Genomic DNA, 25559 nt, shown 5'->3' on the forward strand with positions numbered 1-25559 from the left:
AAAAGAAAGACGCAAACATCATGACACTTCACTGTAATTATCTCAGCAGAATCTCTTACATATGAGGGGACATTTCCACATCAAACACAATACAATTTACACACATTAAGAAAACTAGTTCCTCAATGTTATTTATTATCTTGTCAATATTTCACATTTCTCCAATTGTTCCAACCATGGCTTCATGGCTGTTGATGTTTCTGGATACATGTTTAATCTAGATTTGCACATCAAATCAGGTTGTCATGTCTCTTAATTTGTTGAGTAAATATTCTTAAGGAAATGTCATGGTACTATGAGAAGAACCTTATTGGGGCTTAGAGTTTGAATTAAGGGCCTGGTTGCCATCTTTTTCACGTGAGACTTCATTCCTGATCGATACATTCTTAATGACTACCATGCTTAACATTATTATTATAAAAGTAATACACTCACATTTAAAAACTCACCCATAAAAGAGAGTGAATTTTTCCTACAAACCTGTTCCAATCCCAGGAACCACCGATAGCACTGTGGTTTTTCACTTGTTGTCCTCTCTAGCTCTCAGTACATTTGTGAGGCCTTGTTAGAGAAGGAGGTGAAATTACTCTGAAATAGGAAAGTCACTGTGAAATGCAGCACCTGTGTCCCTGGGGAAGAAGCCACCAAGGCTTAGGGAATATGTGCCTGGTTGCTCAAGGACAGCTGGGCTGACTGTTCCCATGAAGATTCCTACGGTTGCAGCTGCTTCTTTTCTCCTGGCACAGCCCAGTGTGACTCCTTCACAGCTGTGTTCATCCTAGTGATGAAGTGTGTTTGATAAGGACCAATAGAGGGGCATCTTTGTTTTAAAGGTAGGGTTATGATCTTGCTTCAGCAAGGAAGACCATCCACTGGCAGAACCATGGGGCTCTTCACCAAAACCAGAGATGCAGCAATTCTAGGATTTGGGGACATGTCAAGATTTGGTAAAATATACATGACTTTTCTTTTTCTTAATGAGCTAAAAGCAAAGCCAGGTTGTGTGTAAAATGGGAACCATCAAGTCTAACTGACAAATAGACTCACTATGCTGTCTTTTAATGAAACATTACCTGTGCTGTGTCCCCAAACCTATCTCTATAACTGGGGAGAGAATTTCAGGCTGTTTCTTTGTGGCAAAATGGTTCAGTTCCCCAGGCAAGAGTGGGAAGCCTCATTCTTATAGATAGGCTCCCAGAAAGCAAACTCTCTCATCTCTATGATTTAGAAAACAAAGTTTCTCTGCATTATGTCCTCAATGTTAAGTAACAGAAGCAGTTTTACTGGTTCTCAATTCTGGAGGCAGAGCCAGCTTCATGGGCTTGAAGGCAGGGCAGTGACACACGAATCTGCTCTGAGAAGGGCCGGTACCTGGTGTCAGGCTCTGCTGATAGCTCCCTGACTTTCTTAGTTTTTTCTTTGAACTTGTGTTTTGTAAGTGAAGCTTACTGAGGACAATGGAGCAGGCACATGGGAAGAGTGGCTATGAGGGGAGACAAGTTGGGCAGGCTCAGGCCCAGGGACGTTCTAGAGCTTTGCTGCCCTGAGCATAGGCATTCTTGGAGCAGCCCAGGCACATCTGGACTGGGATGGGAGGTGGCAGCAGCAGCAGCAGCAGCAGGTGTCCTCAGCCCTGGGGTGAATGGAGTGTCTCTGTGTGGAGGCAGCACTGACACCTCTGTGCCTGTGCATTCTCAGAGTCATCCTTGGAGCTTCTGCACAAAGATTTACCCCCTGACCTGAGCACCAGGACAGGAACCATAGGTGCTCAGATAGCAAACTGGGAGGAGAGAAGCACAAAACAAAAGTGTGCCCATGGACATTGCAATAAAGTATACCAGGAAGTTCTTGGAATTCTTCAGAGAGTTTAGAATTCTTTAAGGCATTATCCAAGACTCAGAAATGGAAATTAAACATGTAATAGTAGTCACATTCAACAGAGAAGGATGCTATATTTGTATAAAACTTCTGATGGGCCAGGCATGGTGGTTCACGCCTGTTATCCCAGCACGTTGTGAGGTTCAGGTCAGAGGATTCCTTGAGGCCAGGTGTTGGATACTAGCTTGGGCAGTATAACTAGACACCATCTCTACAAATAATGATAATAAAGATAATAAAGATTAGCTGGCCATAGTGTCACATGATCGTAGCCTTAGCTTCTTGGGAGGCTGAGGTATGAGGATTACATGAGTCCAGGAGTTTGAGGCTGTAGTGAGCAATGATCGTAGCACTGCACTCCAGCCTGAAAAATACAGACCTTGTCAAAAAACAAAAAACAAACAAACAAACAAACAAAAACCTTCTGATTAATCAATTATGAACAAGGAGGGCAATTTTAAAAATTAAGTTTTTCTTGTTAATAAATACATAGCAATAGAATTCATAAACAGGGGTTTTGAATAAGTTACAAATCATGATGCCATATTGGTCTGCTGTGGGCCTCTGCAACTTACAGAACATGTCAGAAGATGCATCAAAATTCCGCTGGAGAAATTGACACTTAAAATTAGATTCAAATTTACATGAAACTGATTTGTTTAAAGAGTTAAATCTTTTGAGACAAATTGTTTCACAAGAATCACCAGCTCCAGATATACTAAAATCTGTTTCAAAATAATTTATCCTCATGTTGTCACAGCTTGGAATATATTCCAGAAACAGTGGCTTCAGCAGATTCTTCCCAAAAGATAAAATGAAGTTGCTCAAGGTATAAAGTTTGTTGTCCTAATATATTATTTGACAGAAAAGTGGGCCAGAAAAATTGTATGATTCATCTAAATCCAATTAATAGAGTAGTATTTTTATTCTATTAAAACTATGAAATTAATTTCTGGTGGAGATTTGTAAGATTCTGTCATTACTCCTGTATAACTATTACATTTTTCAAACAATGAAAAATATTTGTTTGAAAAAGCTTAATATCCTACTGCCTTTCATTACACTTTCTTTTTCTGCTCTTTAAACCATGGTACCCTGCATTTCCATTTCGCACTGAAACTTAGGAATTTTGCGGCCAGCCCTGCTATGGCCATTTTTATATTAGTTATCTTATTAAATCCTCAGAAACAAGCCTGCCAGGTAGGTATTACGCAAGTTTACAGAGGCAGGTCCTGGGGCATGGAAAGGTTGGAGGACACGTTCAAGGTCACCTGGCTACTAAGTGGCAAAGATGCAATTTGAAATAAAATCCCCCTCTCTTCAAAGCCCATGTTCCTAACCAGCGCCACACAATCATCATGGTGTCCTGATAACCTCCCCTCTTCATCCTCCTACAACCCCAAAGCTACAGTAACGCTCTGCCTAAAGCCAAAGTCCATGGAGCTACTGTCACCCTCTTCCATCTTCTGAGCTGAGTGGTGAGTCCAGAGCCTGGGCTGGCCTGGTCTTGCAGGAGGTGAGGGAATGAGTGCGCAGTTACTGCCACCTCGTGGCGGCTCGTCTATATGACCCTAAAACGCAGATGTAATCTGTTTCCTGCCTGCCTGAAGCCTGGGTGTGCACCTGAGACTTACAGTAATTTCTTTACCCCTTAATGAACCTATTGAGAGTTCTCACAATTGTATGGATCCTCTCAAGGAATCAGCTTTTATTTACTAATTTTTAATGTTTTTTTGTGTCCAGTTTCTTTTTATTCACTTTTTCTTTTTCTCTTTTTTTTTCTTTTTCTTATTTACTTTGGGTTTAGTTTGTTCCCTTTTCCCTTACCGTTTCTTACAGTGGAAACTTAAATTGTCTATTTGTGAGCTTTTCTGCTTTCTATCATAATAGCATTTAATTATAAATTTGTCTCCAAGAGCCACTTTAGTGGCACTTCCGCAAATTTTGATATGTTATGGTTTCATTTTCTATCAGTTGACCATATTTTCTAAAGTATCTTGTGATTTCTCCTCTGGACCATTTAGATACATGTTCATTGATGTCCCAATATATGGAGATTTTTCCAGATGACTCTCTGTATTGATAGTTTTGTAAATTCCACTGGAGATAGACACTGTCTTTTGTATAATTTTAAACTATGTTGATTTTTTGAGACGTTTCATAGGTTAGTATGAGCTCTATTGGGTAATATTTTAATGCATTCTGCTGTTATTTGGTAGAGTGTTCTATAAATCTCAAATAGGTTGTGCTGGACGGTAGCGTTGCTCAAGACTTCTCTACCTTTACTAATATTTTGTCTGCTTTAAAAAATCTCTTACAGGAAGAGAAGGGTTGAATTGTCTAATTGCAATTGCTAATTTGTCTATTTCTTTAATGTCTATTGATTTTTCTTTAAGAATTTCAAAATTCTGTTATTAGGGGCACACACTGATTTAATATTAATATCTGTTCTTGGTGATGTAACCACTTTATCATTAGGAAAAATATCTCTCCCTATTACTGATAATACCCCTTGCTCTAAAATCTACCCTAATTTATGTCAATGAGCCAGTATAGCCAATCCTATTTTCTTTATACTAATGTTTTCATATTATATCTCTTTCCATCCTTTTATTTTTACTCTAAGTTTGTTCTTAAAGTTTATATATAAAGTGGGTTTTTATAGACAGCATGTAGTTGGGTCTTGCTTTTTACTGAACTGACAATCTCTCTCTTTAAGGAGCTTCTAGAATGTTCACAGCATGCTCTTTTCATCATATGGAATCAAATTTCTACCTAGCATCTTCCCTTTCTGCCAAAAAACTTATCTTTGCATTTTATAGTACAGACTGGCTGGTGAGGAATTCTCTTAGCTTTTATTGTTGTTACTGGAAAATGCCTTTACTTATTATTTGATTATGTGTTTACCCTTTTTTTAGAAATATACTTTTGCTGGGGTGGATTTCTAAGAGAACATTTTTTTTCTTTCGGCATTTGAAGATAACACTTAACGTTTTGTTCTTCTGTAAGTAATATGTCTCCTTTCAGACTGCTTTTTAGTTTTATTTTTGTTTTTGAGACGCAGTCTCTCTCTGTTGCTCAGGCTGGAGTGCAGTAGGGTGATCTCGGCTCACTGCCATCTCCGCCTCCTGGGTTCAAGAGATTCTCCTGCCTCAGCTTCTTGAGTAACCTAGGATTATAGGTGCGTGCCACCATGCCTGGCTAATTTTTGTATTTTTTTTTTAGTAGAGACAGGGTTTTACCATGTTGGCCAGGCTGGTCTCAAACTGCTGACCTCAGGTGATCCGCTCACCTTGGCCTCCCAAAGTGCTGGGATTACAGGCATGAGCCGCTGTGCCCGCCCTCAGGCTGCTTTTAAAATTTTCTTTTTATTACTGATTTAAAATACTTTGATTATGATATGTTTCATGTGGTTTTCTTCATGTTTCATATTTCAACTTGGATGTCTTCATGTGGTAAATTTGTGTGTTTATAGTCTCACCAAATTTGGAAAACAATAGGCCATTCCTTCCTTAGCTCTATCCTCTCTCTCAAAACTTTTCTTCTTTTATTCGAGATGGAGTCTTGCTCTGTCGCCCAGGCTGGAGTGCAGTGGTGTGATCTCGGCTTACTTGCAACCTCTGCCTCCCAGGTTTAAGCGATTCTCCTGCCTCAGCCTCCAGAGTAGCTGGGATTACAGGTGCACGCCACCACACCCAGCTAATTTTTGTATTTTTAGTAGAGATGGGGTTTCACCATATTGGCCAGGCTGGTCTTGAACTCCTGACCTTGTGATCCACCCTCCTCAGCCTCTCAAAGTGTTGGGATTACAGGTGTGAGCCACCACGCCTGGCTGTCTAAACACACATAGTTGCTAGATTGCTTGATGTTTCTGCACAGGTCACTGCTTATTATTTTCCAGCCCTTTTCTCCTCTCTTTGTACTATTTCTTCATTCATTTGTAGTAATATAAACTCAGGTTTACTGATCTTTATTTTGGAATATATGCCACAATCCAACTCATAGTATCTTTTACTCAGATGTTTATTTTTAATCTCTGGAAATTCCATTTGTCTCTTTATATCTCTCACTCATCATGAACAGTTTTTCTCTTCAAACTCGGACATATTTATAACATTTATAATAGCTCATTTAAATCTTTTTTTGCTGATCCTAGTATCCTTGTCATTTCTGGATCTGTTTTTACTGAATGATTTTTCTCTTGATTATGACCATATTTTCCTGCATAGCAGCTAATTTTTTATTAGATTCAGTGTGCTATAAAGCACAAACTGTTGAGTGATGGATTTAGTTGTTTTTCTTTGAAGAACGTTAGGCTTTATTCTGTCCCACATTTAAGTTTCTCATAGATCAGTCTGGTCCTTTCAAGAATGGTTTAGAAAAAAATTTGTTAGAGTGGTTGCAGAACAATTTAATCTAGAGCCAAATAGCACTACTACTAATGTGTTAGTTGCCCAAGGACTCTGCAGTCTCTCCACTTTGCTAGTGGGAATGAAAATTTTTCCAGCCTTTAGTGCTCCTAAAATTGTTATCCAATCCCTTTTGGGTGTTTTTCTTTGCCTCTAGCCTTGTGAAGTCTTACCCCAAGCGTGCTCACATGAAAACACAGCCCAGGACTGAAGATTTACCATGTGTCCCTGCCCCCACCACCAACACTTCGGGGCCTTGCTTCCTTCTAGGCACCCTCTCTCTGCTATTCTGCCCTGGAAGTGGGGGTGTCTTGTGCTTTGGGAAGTTTGATTTCAGTCTCTTCAATGCTTCAGGATTGCTGGACTTCGTTTGAGTCTTCCTCTGTGTGCTGTGGTCTGGACCCTGCTGCTGTAGTGAGCTGGGGGCAATCGAAAGTCTCACTTCATTGGTCTGTTGCACTGCTTATTATCCAATGTCTGAACACAGCTGTCACACATCTTGACAGGTTCCCTTTTGTCTGCTGTCAGAGGGAGATTCCCATAGCAGTGAGTCCATTTTGGATGGAAAGTGAGGAGCAGTCTCATCTTTTTGAGCCCTTGAGCCTTTCTTCCTAAGAGCCTTGTTGTATTGTCTTTTCTCCATACGTGGAGCCATGAGTGGGGTCTGGTGTCAGGTATGAAAAACCACACACTCCATTTGCTGGAATCCTACTGCATCAACGTTGAGAGAGCACTAGATAGTTAAACTGCAGTACCTCCAAATCATTTGAATGATTAAAGATAATTCAATCAATAAATCGTTTGAATGTACTTCAATTCATAAATACTTGTTGAGCAGCCTTCATGCTCAGGGCACTTTACAAGCAGTACAGGAAGAATTAAGACAAACTCCTTGCTTTTAAGGCTCACAAAGTCTAATATGGAGATTGGCAATATGTCACTGTACGCAATGTAAAAACCAAGCAAGGGTTGTAGATGGAGGACTCAAGTCAGAACCCTGTGGTGAACCAGAGGAAAGACTGTAAGCATTTGGGAAATCACCTGTGTTTTTAAGGTGGAGATAAAATGTGAGACGGTCCCTGAAGGACAGGTTAAAGTTTAGAGATGAAGTTGGAGGAGTGAGGCAGACATGAGGTCAACCAGAGCAGAGGCATGGGTGAGAGAAAGCAAAGTGAATATCTGAGGAAGAGCCAGTTTCCTTATTTCTCTGAAGACAAAGTTTTTGGAAGGAATTGGGATAGCCCCTGAGGGATGCATGAAAACCTTAGAGATAGATTTGGTGGAGAGATGCCATTTGGGGTAGAGGGACTGAAAAGGCCCAAGGCTTGGATGACATGAAAGCAAAGGGCATATTCCAAGAGAGTGAAGAGTCCAACTTCACTGGGGCATAACGTTCACAAAGTAGGAATAGAACCTGATAACCCTTGGATAATAAGGTTGGGCTCCCTTATAGATTTCTCCAGAGATTCTACTTTCTTTGAACGAAAGGTGAGTCCTTAAGATTTTCTGAGTTGTCTGTTTGGAAACAAGTACCAAAATAATCAGATTTAAAAAAAAAAATCAAGCTCCTAATTTTTTTTGAAAAAAAAATGTAATTTGATTTTACTTTTATAAACTTTAAGAAGGCATTTCCACACTTTACAACACTCTCGTCATGTTTCAGGGTTTTTATTTCTTTCTTCGGCAGCATTTTCGGCCACGCGTCGAGCACTTGCCGATCTGTTCCTCCTTTGGAAGGCAGCTGAGCACAGCACACCGGCCGCCTCTGACTCTGCAATAATATTTCTGTAATGTGTTTATGATTCCTCCATGACCTGCAATGACAAAACAGCACACACGGAAAGGTTTTAGGAAGGCTTTTGGTACACGTACAAGGCTTGTGGAATTCCTCAAATAACTCATCCCTTGCTTTTCTTGTATTCTTTTGTTTCTTTTTCCTTTTTCTATAAAATCAGGAGGAAGATGAAGGTATGACTACACAACCCATAGACAATGTTTCTAAGGCTGCAGCTCAGCTGTGGACCCACAGTGGCACCGGGGAAGTGGCGTGACCCTGTGACTGCCGCAGGAACAGTGGGGGTGCTGAGGCTGTGGTGTCCTCAGAGGTAGCCCCAACACTCCACCTCCAACCATTGCACTTAGTAGAACAGGAGCCTGTGCTTCTATTCTCAGAGTAAATCAATCTTTCCTGCTACATTAAACTTTTATGTCTGATTCATGTCTCATCAGCTGGTATAATAATCTTCCCTTGAAGAGTTGGGGAAAGAGATAGCTTTGGGGAGCTATTTAGTTTCTTAATGATTCTTTTCTTTTTTTTTTTTTTTGAGGTGTACTCTCACCCTGTCACCCAGTCTGGAGGACAGTGGCGTGATCTCGGCTTACTGCAACCTCCGCCTGCCAGGTTTAAGCAATTCTCTGCCTCAGCCTCCCGAGTAGCTGGGATTACAGGTGCCCGCCACTGTGCCCAGATAATTTTTGTATTTTTAGTAGAGATGGGGTTTCACCATCTTGGCCAGGCTGGTCTTGAACTCCTGACCTCGTGATCCGCCCACCTCGGCCTCCCAAAGTGTTGAGATTACAGGCATGAGCCACCGCACCTGGCCTCTTAATGATTCTTGTCTGAAAAAAAAGTGGTGATGCCTAGTTCCCATACAACAAACCTGCTTGGTCCAAAGCACTCTGAAGGATGGAGAAATACTGACTCTGAATTATATATTCTCAATTAGATCAATCCTTAGATTTCCCAGCCCATCTTACCTGGAACAGGCACCAAAAACAGGAAGAGCAAAGCAAACAGAAGATAATGGATCCTCATAGCTGCTAGGCTTCACCCCACGCTGAGACTGGATGAAAAGGTGTGCTTGGTCACTTTATAAAGGTTCCAGCCACAGCTGCAATTCTTGTCATATTACAGTGATGACATTATGACATGTTTTCTGATGCATCATTCCAATGCCTCTCACCATGCAGAACACACCCACTCACTCAGTTAATTAGGAACCCAATGGTAAGGCAGAGCTCCCTATGGATTTGTGGCTGTCCGGGTGCTCTCTGGACTCCAGGGGCTTGTCTGGGTGTGGGTCAGATTGGGTTGTGGGTACAGATAGGGCTGGCATGAGCAAGTATGCCCCCTTTGGGGAATAGTCTCAGGGCATGTGGCTGGGGGCTGACTTGTCCGTACTTTGCTGCTTTGGAGCTTTTTTTCTCTTCCTAAAATGCTGGGAGAGTCTAAGACCCTCCTGGGGACCAAATAAATCCAGCCCTGGACATATTCAATATCTGGCAATAGGACTGGCTTTTTGGTAGTGAGGTAAGGGAGGAAAATGGGCTACATTCAAGGTTAGCTGACCACCTGGCCCTTGGCCTATGATGGGGTGCTATAATTTGAGTGAAACATGTCTCATTCTTTCATTTTTTTTTTTTTTTTTTGAGAGACAGAGTCTCACTTTTTTGTGCAGGCTGGAGTGCAGTGGCATGATTACAGCTCACAACAGCTTGAGCTGTCAGGCTCAAGAGGTCCTCCCACTTCAGCCCCCTGAGTAGCTGGGACCACAAACGCATACCTCCACACATGGCTAAATTTTAAATTTTCTGTAGAAAATAAAATGGGGTCTCACTATGCTGCCCAGACTGGTTTCGAGCCCAGATGTGAACTCCTGGGCTCAAGCAATCCTCCTGCTTCAGCCTCCTAAATTGCTGGGATTACTGGTATGAGCCACTGTGTGCGGCCCATGTCCGATTCTTCATCATTGTCTAAAACCTACCAAATTTATGAGTAAAGAAGGTGTTTAATTTTACTTCATCAGAGAAAGAGGATGCTGGGATGATAGATTTAATAGACTGGCATCTCCTCCTAGTCAATGACTGTCCCTGTGCAAAAGAGGGGCTTCAGAATAGACATTTAAGACCTCAAGTTACTCTTGGCTCAGGAGCATTCAAGGCAGTCCAGGGGCCAGATGATTTCCCCTGCATATAGATTCAACGTTTAGAGGGAAAAATGCTAAAAAAGAAAAAAAAAACAGCTATTAAACTTAAATGTTCAGGAATCCAATGGATGGGTTGTATTTGGTTGACTATCAATTGGGAACTAAGTAAGTCAATGACAATTCAATTGGGAGCTGAAGTCACCGTGATGTCTCCTAGCTGCTGCTTCGTGTGAATGCAATTATAACGGATCCACTAAGGATCAAGGGTGTGTTAGTTCTGGGAGTGTGTGTTCAGAATTTGGGTGCACCACACCTGTCAGATTCAGTAAGAAAACTCTGAACACATACTATAGGAAGGGACAAGTATCATGTCTTCAGCATAGGTGAGGGTGAAGTGGATGAGATACCAAGAGGGACCAGTCTTGGTTCTTTCTCTCCAGAAGCTCCATGTAGGGCCAGGTAGATGGGCAGACAGTCAAATGATAAATTTAGGATGAATTATAATGGGAGTCATAGGAAGATTTCAAGCACAGGGCTGCAGAAACGTAGAAGAAAGATAACTCATCATAACTCAAAGATAACTCTTTGAGCCAAGAGTGGAGCTCAATCAGCAGATTTAAGACTTTAGATAGGTAGATGCTACTTTTTAAAATCTAACTTTCCTCTTTAGTTCATGATTTGAGACAAAGCAATTGGAGATATTTATAAATGGGGGAAGGAGGTGAGTGTGGGTGGGATGGGTGCTGACTTCACAGTCTTACTATGTCAGACATAACGATGGCATTGGGCGTTGTAGAGGGTTAGCACCAGCTCTCAGCCTGGGGTGAGGACAGTCAGACGCTGGAGATGACTTGCTTTTCCACATGGAGAATAGACTTCCACAGGTGAACCCCTGGTCTAACCTGTTCCTTCATAGACTGGGAGGCATTTTTATGGCAACACCACTATTTCATAAAAGTTCCTTGGTGAGGAAAAATGCCACTTTTTCTTGTCAACTAGTTTGGGAGCTGGGAATTGGAGATTGGGCTGTGACAATCAGCCTTTTCAAGTTTGGACATACTCCAGACACACAAAATCCGTTTTGAGGGGGACTTACCTGTTTTAAGAAAATTATAAAAGTAATGCATTTTTATGGTAAAATTTCAAACAATAGAAGAGAGAGACTGTGTAATTTACTTCTCTACTTCAGGGAGCCACTGACAACTGTGAATTGTCCTCTTTTTGGCTTATTATAATCCTTTTTATGTCTTCAATACTTTTAGCCTCTCAAATGATAACAAGTACACGTGTGCTGTCTAATAGTTGGGTGAATAGATTCATGTGTCTGAAGCCATACAACACTAACGACAGCTGGGTCTTGTCACTCCCTGCCCCTGGGCTCTGAGTCACAGCGCTTGGAACTGCAGATCCTGCAAATTTTTGTACCCATGTGCTTGGTTTCCTTGTAGCTCTCACAGCCAGCATTTTGACATTTTGATTAGGTTGAGCAAGGAAGAGAAACTTTAGTTATTTATCACCTTTGTTCATGTCAGACTTTCCTTTAATTATTATTTTTTAAATCCTGTTCTTAAAATGTGGAGCTGAGATGTGATTGGTCCAAGTTTGTGGCAGAAGGGCAGAGCTATGTAGAAGACAAACACCAGGTCTGAAGTGAGGCGTCATTGGGCCATCACTCAGCCCTACCGTGTATGGCGTGGGTTTACCTGAATAAATTACCTAAGCTCTGTGAGCATCTGTAACTCAGCAACAAAGCACAGAGAGCAGTACATTTCCTGTTTAGGTCACAGTGAAAGCCCTATGAGTTAATGGTGTGAAATTGACTTGTACATTGCAAATCACCATGTGACCCATGTATCACCCAAGTATCACCCACGTGACCCTCGGTTAACAATATCAAGACTCTGGCATGGGCTCCCAGCACGGGAATCCAGGGTGTCAACTCCTCTTCATCTTGACATAGTCTAAGATGAAGGTTGGCTCAGCCATTCTCCTTTGCAGCCATTAATCTTGTCACAACCACCATTATATAAGTTATACAAATAAAGGCAGACATTTTTCCAATTTTATAGATGAAGACACTGAGGCTCAGAGAGGTTGAATGACATGCTGTAGTGAATTGCAGCATTGTGACCTGAAGCCAGCATGTCCAGTCATTTCTCTGCCTGCTCTCAGAGTCATCCCTTGACTATTGGTGATCTACACTCATGTGTAGTGGTCTATACTTAGGTGTGTACCCTTTTCCATCACCCCATTGTCCCTAAATTCTTTGCATCCTAGCATCTCAAGAAATCTGTCCAAACTACTCTTCCTAAGTCCAGCCAAGCCTTTTACATCCCCAGCTCAATGAGTTTTTTGTCTGTAATCTTCCTACCTGACCGTTTTGCAACATGTGCCTCGTAAGGCCACTTTCAGAAACCTATTCCTCAATTTCAATTCAACGTCCAGAGAACTTCATGGACATCTGCTCTGTATTAGGGTCTTAGGACCTGGTGCTGTGCAGGAAAGAAAGATAAACAATATTTACTCTCTAGGCTCTGAATTTTCACTATTTCCCAGTCTAATGGAAAAAGATACAAGCTGACAGTAACACGATATAACAGACATCCGCTTTCCATTGTCTCCTCCTATCCTTCCCATTACTGCCTTTGATTCATCATGGAAGTTTTCCTCCTTCTCCTGTCCCTGAAGTCCCCAAAAGGGAACATCTTCAAGAATTTAACATTTTCATGGCAATCATAATGATGATGATGATAATGATCCTCCTCCTTATCATCATTGTCACGTCATTGTAACAGATCTATTGAGCACATATTATGTTCTAGACACTGTGCTAAGCAATTTACTTGCATTTATTTCATTTGAATCATGCAGTAATTTAATAATGTTGATACACTTATCTGCATTTCCCAAATGGGGAAAGGCCAGTTGATGCTCCCATGCTCCTAACTGTATTCCAGATGCTTACTCGTGGGCCTCTGCTGGCTTCATATGATCTTTGGGATGTGGTTATCTATGCCTGCATGCAGCTACCTTCCATCTTCATCTCTAGTCTGGACCATTTCCCCAATGTTCTCAACCAATCTTTACATCACTTTTTCTGTAAATATCAACTTCATTCTCCAAATTGCTTGGTGATAGATGTTGGAAACTAGGTTCTTTCTGACTCTTCTTTCTTTTTTTGGAGGGGGGGACAGAATCTCACCCTGTCTCCCAGGCTGGAGTGAAGTGGCACAATCTTGGGTCACTGCAACTTTCACCTCCCGGGTTCAAGCGATTCTCCCACCTCAGCCTCCCAAATAGCTGAGACTATAAGTTTGCACCACCATGCCCAGCTAATTTTTGTATTTTTAGTAGAGACAGGGTTTCACCACTTTGGCCAGGCTGGTCTTGAACTCCTGATCTCCAGGGACCTGCCCTCCTCGCGCTCCCAAAGTGCTGGGTTTACAGCCATCAGCCAATTCTTTCTACAAAGTGGTTTGCATAATTTTCAGGGACCAACTCAAATACCAGTTCCTCATGATCACAATCACCCCAGTTGAAAGAGATCCCTCCCTCCTCTGCAGTTCTGCAGAGCACATTTTGCATGACACTTGGAGCTTCTACCAACTTCCATAATGAATGCCATATACTATTTGTGAACATTTCTTATTATCTTTAATAGATGGTGTCTTTTCATTTATGTCCTTATATTAATGAGAAAGTACATACTCAAGTCCTATGTTGCTTTCACCCTTTAGATAATAAGAATTATTTTCAAATCCTAGAGTATCTCCTAGGATGCTCAGGATGAATATCACAAAGAAGAAATACTTCCAGAAGAGCAAGGAAATAGGGAGAGAACAGTAGCAGCTAATGCAAAGACAACAAATGATTTACAACATGAGAACAATCTGAACACACTTATGGTTTAACAAAATATAAATAAATTCGTGAGATACTGAGTGTGGCAGGCAGCCACTGCAATGGCCCCCAGTAACCCTTGCCTTTAGGGAATGCTGGTATCGTGCTTTGGTGCAGATATGATATGGAGGGTGGAGCAGAGGCTTACGAGACAGAAGGCCAGAAGACCAAGAGCTGAACTCAGGTCTGCTGTGTTTCGGATGCCAGTGGGAGAAAGAGGCAGACCTGAGTGCCAGAGCCATCTAGAAGAAGCAATCAAGAGTTAATACAATGGTTGAGCATGAGAGAAGGAATTAAGAGAGGAGGCAGCCTAGGGATACTGTTCAGGGGACAGGGTAGGTGGCGGTCCCATCAATTAGAATTAAAGTGGTGATGCCAGCAGGCACTGAGGGAGACATGCTATGGAGAGAGAGCCAGGCTTAACATATGGCATCTTTTTAAAACAGGCTCAAACTAGTTTAGGAATTTACAGGCTTAGCAGTGATGTGGGGTTGCATGCCTTTCCCAGAGTTTCTAAAATCATGCCTGACAAGATGGGGACTGACTCTCCTAATTCCTATAGGCAAAATCAAGGAGGGGATAAGTGTATGAGAAATTCATATAAAGCTACCCTAAAGACATTTTTCTACCCATTTGGCAGCAATATTTTCACCACAAATAGAATGAAGTGCATAATACTACCTCACCTTCTGTTTACACTGGGTAACTCCAACCGGGTTCTTTCTATTTAATCATGGCCCTGTCCCAGTAAAAACACACCCTATACTACCTCTGGCCACCAGCCTACACAGTTCTGATGGCTGCTTCCTCAGGGAGGACTTTTAGGGGACAGGTGGCTCTTACAAAGCAATCATGAGCTCAACTCATCAATGGGCTGGCAGCTGAGGTGGGGAAGTGATGCATCCAAGGCAAAAGGTGTGACCCAGGGGACTTTTTGTTAAAACAGGTCGTCTGCCACTATCCTTTCTTCAGAACTGGTAATTGAAATGAGCCTATTGACTGATGTGGTAATAGGCCATGGATGACTATTAAATGATTTGCACATGGTGGCTAGTATCTATGGAGCTGTTATTACGTACCTGGCATGGCAATGGTGCTTTAATGCATTTCTCTGACAAAAAAAGGCATAAAGTAGGTATCAGAATTTTTACTTAAGGATAAGGAGGAGGCACAGTGGCTCACACCTGTAATCCTAGCACTTTGGGAGGTCAAGGTGGGCGGATCTCCTGAGGTCAAGAGTTTGAGACAAGCCTGGCCAACATGGTGAAACCCAGTGTCTATTGAAAATACAAAAATTATCTAGAAGTGGTGGCGGGCACCTGTAATCGTAGCTACTTGGGAGGCTGAGGCAGAAAAGTTGCTTGAACCTGGGAGGTTGAGGTTGCAGTGAGCCCAGATCACGCCATTGCACTCCAGCCTGGGTGACAGCAAAACTCTGTTTCCAAAAAAAAAAAAAAAAAAGATTAAGGAAACTAAGGCTAAGACAAACGAAATAACTTTCTAAAATTTGAAGCCCAGGACCATCAGGCTCACAGATTATGCTAACTACTTGCTTTATTATTCAGGTTATTGTAGTTATATTTTATATCCATGTTTCTGTCAAAGGTTTTTGGTGTGGGGTTTCCCAGTGGAAAGGGAAATGATTATATATGGTGGAGAATAAATGAGAGAGGGCTTGGGGAATGGAAGCCACACCTCACCCACTTGGCTCAGACCACAGGGCTACTCCTGTTTTGAGAATTTCCAGCTAACTGCCTTATAAAATTACATAGCATGGTATTTATGGTGCTAGAGCACCAAGAAAAATTCAATAAAATGATGAATTTGACATCTCTGACTCAATCTCCTCTTCCATATTTTTCAAGAGGTTTTATGATTGCATATATTAGGGGCCAGCAAACCTTTTCTGTAAAGGGCTAGACAGTAAATATTTCTAGGCATTGCTGGCCATGTGGCTTCTGTTGCAACTACTTAATTCTGCAGCTATAGTACAGAAGCAGTCATAAACAATACATAAACAAATGGCCATGGCTTTGTTCCAATAAAAATTTATTTATAAAACTGGGTGGCAACTGGATTTAGCCAGCAGTCCATAGTTTTCTGACCCCTGGCATAAATTTATGAGACACTGAGTGTGGCAGGCAGCCTCTACGATTGCTGCCAAGGATTCCTGTCTTTGTGAAATGCTGTGATTCATGCTCTGGTGTAAGCCACTCCTTTTGATTATGAGCTGGCCTCATTCACTCATTTCTAATAAATAGATTATAAGTCTATGAAGCAATAGATTATAACCTAATCTCAGAAGTCATGAGAGTAAGCTATAAAAAGGCTGTGGGTTCAGTTTTGGATGCCTTCTCACTCTTCTTGCTTTTGTGGAAGCCTGCTGCCATGTTTTGAGTCGCCCTATGGAGAGACCTACAAGGCAATGAACTGAGGGGCTTCTCTGGCCAACAGCTAGTCAGTCACTAAGGCTCTTAATATACCAGCCCACAGGGAACTAACTCCCTCCAATAACCATGTGAGTGAGTTTATGGAAGTAGATCCTTCCCTGTGTAGGCTTCAGATACAAATGCAGCCCTGGCTGACAGCTTAACTGTGACTTCATGACTGAGCTTGATCTAGAAGCACCCAGCTGGGCCATGCCTAGTTTCTACAATCCACAGAATGTGTGAGATAACAATGTTTCTCGTCTTCATCCACTAAGTTTTGGGATAATTTGTTATGCAGCAATGGATAACTAATATAGTGAGGTATAGTGCAAAGAATGGAAGAGATTTAGAGACCTATGTTTCAGTCCCAGTTTTTTTACAAATTTGCTATGTAAATTTAGACTAACTGTTGACCAAGTCTAGCCCTTCCATTTTTTATTCTGCCTACAAAAGGGAAAGGAATCATGGATTTCTGAGGTCATTACAGGTCTAAGTCTTCATGGTTCATTGAATTGTCAAGCTGATTCCTGCATCTAAACCAGAGTCTTGAATTGGAAGCCCATGAGTAAAATATAGTCCATCGAAGTATTTTGATATTAGGTGTCAACATTTAAAACACTAAAAATTTTGCATAAAAATTCAGTTTTCTGACTTCCTCAGAAAAATTCAATGATTAAACCACCAGGGCCCACGTTTCTACATGTAACACTGAGATTTATCCAAAAATCTCTTGTCCCGTTACATCACAGGTCCCCAACCTCTGGGCCATGGACCAGTACCCGTCCCTGGACTGTTAGGAACCATGCCACACAGCATGAGGTGGGTGACAGGCAAGTGAGCGAAGCTTCATCTGTATTTAAAGCTGCTCCTCATCACTTGCATTACCACCTGAGCCCCACCTCCTGTAAGATAAGTGGCAGCATTAGATTCTCATAGGACTGCAAACCCTATTGTGAACTGTGCGTGCCAGGGATCTAGGTTGCATGTTTCTTATAAGAATCTAATGCCTGATGATCTGTCACTCTCTCCTATCACCCCCAGATAGAGCTCTTTAGTTGCAGGAAAACAAGCTCAGGGCTCCCACTGATTCTACACTATGATAAGTTGTATAATTATTTCACTGTATGTTACAATGTAATAATAGAAATAAAGTGCACAATAAATGTAATGCACTTGAATCATTCCAAAACCATCTCCCCCACCTTGGTCCATGGAAAAATTGTCTTCTACAAAGCTAGTCCCTGGTGCCAAAAAGGTTGGGGACAGCTTCCTTACATAGAATATGAGTGCTCCAATGCACTGCAGTACCCAATTCCTTACTATCTCTCACTGGCCTGGCTCTGATGGTCTTTGGAGAACCACTTGAATGATGCTTATTTTGAGATCTTCCCTAAAACAGAGAAATTATGTTCTTTTACCATCTGCTTGTATCTTGGGTCCAGGACACTGGCCAATTTTTATTTCAATATGGCCTTTGCGAAGTTCTGTGATGTCATAACATCTAGATCCACAAGTCCCGCTCACACAAACTTCAGGGAAATCCCAGATCAGAGCCACATATTCTTACATTAGAACATTAGAGCTCTTATGTTCTTCTCTCTCTTCCTCACATCTAGAATACATCTTATCCCTCCCTCTTTACAGAAAAAGACACACACTTCTACATACACACACACATTTCTAGTTTCACACCATTGTGGTTGGTAAAACATACTTCATATGATGTTAATCTTCTTAAATTTATTAACTTGTTTTGTGGCCTCACATGTTATCTACTCTGGAGAATATTCTACGTGCCCTTGAGAAGAACGTGTATTCTTCTGTTGAATAGAATGTTCAGTATATGTCTGTCAGGTCCATTTGGTCTTTAGTGTTGTTCAAGTCCACTGTTTCTTTGTTGTGTTTCTTTCTAGATGACCTATCCAATGTTGAAAGTGGGGTGTTGAAGTCTCTGATATTACTGAATTGCTGTTACTCCTTTCAGTTCTCTAAATCTTTGCTTTATATATTTATAATTGTTTTATTTTCTTGATGAATTGACCACTTTATCATTATATAATAACTTTATTTGTCTCTTGTTACAGCTTTTGACTTAAAGTCTCTTTTATCTGATGTAGGAACAGCCACTCTTGCTCTTTTTGGTTACCACTTCCATGGAATATTTTTCCCATCCCTTTACTTTCAGCCTGTGTGAGTCCTTCTAGCTAAAGTGAGTCTCTTGTAGACAGCATATAGTTGGACCTTGCTTTTTGATACATTCAACCACTTTACATGTTTTGATTAGAAAATTTAATCCATTTACATTCAAAGTGATAGGTAATGACTTACTATTGTCATGTTGTTAATTGTTTTTCTTTAGTGTTTGTAGTTCCTTTGCTTATAAAATCAATGCACTATTTTTTTTCTCTTTGTTAACTTCAGATCTCAGAGTATATTTAAGAATATCACATCTTTGAGCAGTTGCCCATTAATTCAATCTCAAAACTGGGCATCTTCTTTAAGTCATGCTATGAGTTCCTCATGCCATTCTGTGCAATGGCAAACCAAAAATGTGTTTTAGTTTTTCTCAAAAACACATTGAAATCTCTTTATCTAGTTTTTGGAGACGGAAGATTATAGGAGTGGAAATCAGTACCCTCCTGTTCTCTATTCCTCTCTGATACAAGCATGTGCACAGAGGTGGTTTTTGGCATTTCTCCATTTCCTGGGGACAGCTTCTTTGAAAAGGAAGTCTTTTTCTCTATTTTTATTTCCATAAAGGCTACTCAGCCAAATAAATGAGGTAGCTGTTTCTTTCCCTACCCTGCAATCTATTTGTTCTTTTTTCAAGGTTCCAACTTCTTCTTACCTTTTTTTCCTTTTTTCCAGGAAGAAAAAAAATATTTAATTTGATCCTAACTTGAAGAATCCAGGTTCAACACCTCCTGAGATACAAAAAGAGGGTGACAGTGTACCTTAATGATCCAAGAAGGCATGAGGTGGAGCAGGAAAGAAATCAAATGCTACTTTGGTGAACAATGAGATCCTAGCTCTTGGGGAAGTGAGAAGCATCTCAGTAATCAGGGAAATATTTCTTTCTTCACTTGGGGTTGAGACTGTACTGTCCTCAGAACCTAACATTTGTCCTGGGGAGTTGTACAGATGTTCTATCTAACAGGTTCATGAGCTAAGAAATAAGTTTGTTTGCACTCACCCTGGTGGGCATGCATGGAGACAGCCTGAGGGTTCGACCAGTACCCAGCAGACAAGGCATTTTAGAGAACTCAGCCCCTCAGGCTTAATGTTCTCTGGAGCTTGGGTGTCACTAGATACCCATGATATTCCTGCTGCTTTTCTCAGTGACTGCTCCAGCCTGTTTAAGCGAAGGGAAAGAGGTGCTGGAACAATCAAGTGGTGTCCTCACTGCTGGCAGGTGGGAGGGAGGGAGTGAAGGAGAGCAGTGAAGCAAGACTGCACTCCCAAGCAGTGAAGGAGAGAACGAGGGTGAATGAAGGAGGAGGACAACTTGGGGTCAAGAGACTGAGGCTGGAACACGTAAGAGCCCACTGGCCTTTTAAAGGACCTAAGCAAAGAAACTTCCCTTTTGGAATCTGGGAAAAGCATTAATTTTCCAGACTTTAATTTGTTGCCCTTCTTTGATGAAATCTCCAGAAACTTTGATAAAATGTTCTGTTTGTACTGCATAGGTCTCGTACAAAAGTGTAAGGGAGTTTGAGGGAACTTTTGGTCAGGGGAGGGTGACTGTGGTCCACTGCAACCCTCCTGTGTGCTCCTGGAGAGAGGGCATCATCTTTTACATGGAGGTGACCACAGCAGAAGACCATGACCCCCAGCAGGGCCTCGGTTCCAGGCAACGCTCACAACACATAGGAGGACCCAGAAACACTTTGTTCAGGAAGAACCACAACTCTGTACTTCAAGCAATGGTTCTGAGCTCTGGATGCAGAATGAACACAATGAGGTATCTTAATAATAACAGCTAAAGATCCACCCCAGACAAGGAAGTCACATCACTGCAGGAGGTGCCTTGGCATAATATTTAGTTTTCAAAAGCAGCTGAGATGGGGATGAGAACCAGAGGATTAGAGGAAGATGACTCCTTAAGGATGAGGACACTCATCTGGCTTAGAGACACAACCTGGCCTGTAGCTGATACCGTCTGCACCTCAGGCTCCTCCCTGTAAAACAACTCAGTGACAATGGTAAACTCAAATGTGAAGCTTTTCCAGTTCCTTTGGTTTTGCTCACCTGTGACGTGCACCACACCTAGCATCGAACATCGCAGCTGAATATTCAGTCCTGAGTCACCGTGACTCTGCCATCAGCTGGTCAGGCAGATGAGAATTCCAGGAAGCCCGAGGCTGGCGCATCCCCCTGCCGGGAAGGGACCTAGCCTTTGCCCTGTCTCGTGGTGTGAATGTGCATTCCTGGTGCTGAGATTGCCCAGCCACCTTTACTCCCAGTCATGCTAGAGTCTGCCAGGCTTTCCTCAGCTGGAGGAGGACACGTGAGTCTTGTGGGAGGAATTGGATAGAAAGACACCCCCCTTTAGAGGAAGAAGGATGGAGAAGCACAATGATGCCGAAATGCTGCCTTCCAAGACTTCTTCAGCTGTAGCAACTTTCCCCACTTCCAGGCACTACCACATGCCTGGTCAATCCTACAGAGAGGCTGAGAGTCTCTTTGTCACCTGGTCCCCCCATTGCTGCCCCTCTACCCGGCCTGGCAGCTGATGCTTCCCTCCATGGGCTCCCCCACCCAGGATCTAGGCGCTGAGTCAACTGGGAGGCAGGAAGGGAGGACAGAGTCCCTTTGACTCTCCCCACATTCTGGTGGGGCTGATCTGTCACTCTTCCGGGTGCCAGCCACTGGGCTAGTTCTTAACTTCCTTCCTTCATTTCTTCCTTCCTTCCTCCCACTTTCATTCCTCCCTCCGTTTCCTCCTTCTTTCCACAAACATAGGCATCGAGCTAAATATTCAGGAAAATAAATGGTGCACAGGTCACAGGCTCTGGGTGGCACAGGAGTCTGTAGAGGACAGCAGACACAGGAGGCAGTTGCATGGTGACAGACTCCAGCTCCAGGTGGGCCCAGCAGTGGAGGAGTCACAGGAGCGGCAGCCAGCCACATTCGGGCCTGAGTGTCAGCTTCCCGGAGAAAGTGTAGTCAGAGCTGCAAGCTAAAGGGTGAACAGGGGAAAATGTGAGCAATGCCCCAGGTGTAGGAACCAGAGGGTACAAAACTGGAAAATAAAAAGCATGTGAGTTCAGGAATTTAAAATACCTTGGGGCTGGAAGTGGTGGCTCAACACCTAAAAAAACTAGCAGTGTGCAATGGTGCATGCCGGTGGTCCCAGGTATTTGGGAGGCTAAGGTGGGAGGAGCACTTGAGCCCAGGAGGTAGAGGCTGCAATAAGCGGTAACAGTGCCACTGCACTCCAGCCTGAGCAACAGAGTGAGTCCCTGTTTCAAAAAACAACAACAAGAAAAAATACTTTGGGCTGGTTGGAGATGAACAAGGCAGCAGTTCTGGCTGGGGAGTTTAGCGGGGGCTTCTGTACAAGGGGTCTTGGGGACCCTATTGGGAAGTTTGGGGCTAACCAGGAGGACAGTGAGCAGCTTGTGATGGGGTTTAGGCAGTCAATGCGGGGGTCAGACTAGGCTTCAGGACAGTCAGCCTGGTACCTAGGGAGGCCTGGGAGCACCAGGCTCAGCGTCAGGGAGGCTCTTGACCTCCTTCCTGTCTGGTGCCCATCGCCCCTTTACGGGCCACCTGGCTTTGGTTTGGATGTCTCCGTCTTGCTTTTAGACCAAAACCGGTGGCTGAATCCATGCCCAGGGCCTGGGACCTGGCTTTGCTCTCTGCTGGCCTCCCTGTGCTTGCTCATCGAGTCTTTCCCACTTGTCATTTTCAGTTTCCATGCTGTACCCAGGATCCTACCATAGGAAGGAAGCCAGTTCGCTCTGCTACATTGAATTTATGCTTCTCTCTTGCTTTTCTGCACCATGCAGACCCACTCGGGGACCAGGGGAGCCTCCTGTAGTGATGGGTCTCATGTCTGAGCCTGACCCTTCTCTCTCCCTGCAGCCCTGCATTGGAGTCCCAGGACACGAGAAGCTGGCAATTCAAGGCCTGACAACAGGCTTAAGCCAGTGTCTAGAGGCATGGAACTGTGCCTCTAGTTCCATTTATATTTTTGAGTGGGAAATATGAACAGTGGATTCAAACCTCTCCTTGGAAGTTCAAATGACAGGAGGAGAAGCCTGCTATGCTAACATGGATCAAAGGGATGGAGACTTTTGAGTGTAAAATCATCCACCGGCTTCTCCCAATACCCACTGCTGGGACAGACACAAATCTCCCTCCTTCCAGGACCATCTTGCCAGGCTCCTGTCTGCTTCCTTCTCCTGAGACAGGGCAGGGGTCCCTTATCTCTTAGTCTTGAGGTGAGCTGTGAAATACCTTGAGATGGCTTCCCAGAGTGGCATGGAGCAAAGCTCACAAGTCATTTTCCACCCTGCCCAAATCCAGGAACACATGCATTTGGCAGAAACCCCAACTCCTTTCACACATTCCCACCACAGTGAGAATAGGAGACTCCGCCCCTTTCTTCCACTTTACCAGCTGTGTGCTCTTGGGCAAGTTTCTTAACTTGGGTGAGTTTCCACTTCTTCATGTCCAAGTAATAATAACCACTTCATTGCAGATCAAGTGTAAAACATAAAAAGCAATTCTTAATGCATGGTCTTCTGTTATCCTTGTTATGACCACAGTGATTGTCACAAGCACTATTTATTAAGAGAGGGAGAGCTAGAAGTGACGTTGTGGGTGAACAGCATGTCTCCTATATTCTACGGCATAGGAACCATGTGGCATAAGGGAAAGTGCACCAGGTTGGGGGCCCATCAGTTTCCACCATTAACTTGCTTCATGCAGACATGCCTCTTGAACCTTAAAATAGACATGGTAAAAGTCTGCTGGCTCCTGGCTGTGTGGCTCTGGGTAAGTGAGTTCACATTTCTGAGTCTTAAGTATCTCATCTGCAGTGTAGGCATATTCATGCCACTCCATAGATGACCTGGGATCAATGCATGGGCGGTGCTCGGCACAGAAGCTGGAGTGGAGAAAGCATTCAGTAAGCTCCAACGAGCTGGGAGAGGTGGTGTTGCTAGGTCTACCTGCAGGAGGTGCTTGGGCCCCTGGGAGTTTAGCAACAGAGTTCTTCTATACCTGTATGCTGGACAGATCTGGTCTGAGCTCTGCATCTGCCTGGGCCTTGTCTGTGCCGGTGCTTGTGTCCCATCCCAGGGGCCTCCCTCTGGGTAACCACAGTGACCACGAAGCCCTTGCTAGCCTGTCTATAGGGTGGGCTACTCCTTTGTGTGCATTCTCAGATTTAGTCAGGACAGGCACATGTTTCCCTGCAGGCGAGACCTGTGACTAAGCTTCCAGTGGAGTCACCTGTAGAACAACCTGCAGGTGATCTAACACACCCGTGGCATCCCATGGGGAGGAATCCTGGAAACAGCTTGAACCTCTGGCATCCTGCCATCCCGAGGACCATCAGGATTTTAGAGATGCCATTTATGGTCTTCTGAGTGTGGCGGACCCTTGCTTCTCTGCAGAGTGAGGGAGGAAGCCGAGGACCCTGGGTGAATTTCTTTTATAATTTTGGGTGAATTTCTTAATTCATTCCGAACAGATGACATTATTTGTGTGCATAGAGGGGTATGTGGAAGGCAATTCCAAAAGAGGAATTTTAGTATTCTGAGGTATTGCAGTGTTATTGTTAAAGCACATAGCCTATGGTACTGCAAGAGTAGGATTTTGAAAGGTTTTCTTCTTTGTTTTGTTAAAAATCCATCTTATCCCTTTATTGTTGCAGTAGGTTAACAGACAGCCATTTTCAGTTGGTTGATAATCAGCCTGGGAGAGCTATGCTGCCCGTCTCTGCCTCATGTGAGGAAGGATAGGGGCTTGGAGGAGTTTCGGTGGGATGGACCTGCTCATATCGCCCAGCAAGGATTGTCATGGGGGTGGGATTTGGTGATAATAAATCACCTTCGGAGATGGGTGGCAGGACAAGAGCCTCACCTTTCTGTGACGATTATTTGCATCAAGTGTTCCAAGAGGTGGCAAGACAGACCTGACTGCCTTGATCTGAAGAGCCCAGACCAACTCTAAAAGGTTTAGACTTTGAGCTTGTGTGGGAGATTGGCTCATGCATGGGTGGTTTAAAAATCCATTCTAGGCCGGTCGCGGTGGGTGATGCCTGTAATCCCAGCACTTTGGGAGGCCAAGGAGGGTGGATCACCTGAGGTCAGGAGTTCGAGACCAGCTGGCCAACATGGTGAAACCCCGTCTCTACTAAAAATATAAAAACTAGCCAGGTTCAGGTGTGCACATCTGTAATTCCAGCTATTTGGGAAGGTTGAGGCAGGAGTATCCCTTGAACCTGGGAGGCGGAGGTTGCGGTGAGCCAAGATTGCACCACTGCACTCCAGCCTGGGTGATGGAGTGAGACTCAGTCTAAAAAAAAAAAAAAAAATCCATTCTGGCTATAATTGCATAGTGAGACACTATGTGTAAATTATACATGTATCTGCATGTGTGTGTTTTAGTCACTAAATTACTCCACCTGTATGATGTTAAAATGCAATATGTATTCTTTCCAGGTTGACAACTATCTCAAATCACATTTGCTGTATCTTATTTGAATCAAGAAGATTCAATTATTAGTTAATAAAATGAATCACCTGTACAGTCCCAATACTGTATGGTTCATAGGAATTTCATGTAATCTTTGTTTTCAAAATCAAAGAGCAAACAACGTGTGTTCAAATTATCAAGGAAGGGCCAAAGCTCAGTGAGGTCAAGGACGGCAGACATAGGACAAGGACGCAGGCATTTTCATTCCTAGTTCAGGGCTTTTTCCAGGATGCCATGAGGCTCATTGGGGCATGGCTTCAATTTAGTGACATCCTGGGTCCCTTTTCTGTCTATGATTCCATGAGGGA

The 25559-nt window shown here is 43.1% G+C and overlaps 1 protein-coding gene across 1 annotated transcript; it reads right to left on the reverse strand.

The window, feature by feature from the left end:
* On the reverse strand, positions 7860-9320 carry DEFB103B (defensin beta 103B). The gene is made up of 2 exons (NM_018661.4): positions 9045-9320; positions 7860-8101 (listed from the first exon to the last, which is right to left on the reverse strand). The coding sequence occupies exons 1-2, from the start codon at positions 9100-9102 to the stop codon at positions 7956-7958; spliced, it is 204 nt and encodes a 67-aa protein (NP_061131.1). The 5' UTR covers positions 9103-9320; the 3' UTR covers positions 7860-7955.

The sequence above is a fragment of the Homo sapiens genome, chromosome 8 (genome assembly GCF_000001405.40).
Source record: "Homo sapiens chromosome 8, GRCh38.p14 Primary Assembly".
NCBI classification, from domain to species: Eukaryota; Metazoa; Chordata; class Mammalia; order Primates; family Hominidae; genus Homo; species Homo sapiens.

What these genes read in the sequence shown, in the direction of transcription:
- DEFB103B (NM_018661.4), bottom strand. Translation starts at nt 9,102, where the DNA reads ATGAGGATCCATTATCTTCTGTTTGCTTTGCTCTTCCTGTTTTTGGTG. An exon ending in GTTTTTGGTGCCTGTTCCAG is followed by an intron (nt 8,102 to 9,044) that starts GTAAGATGGGCT and finishes TTGTCATTGCAG; the next exon opens with GTCATGGAGGAATCATAAAC.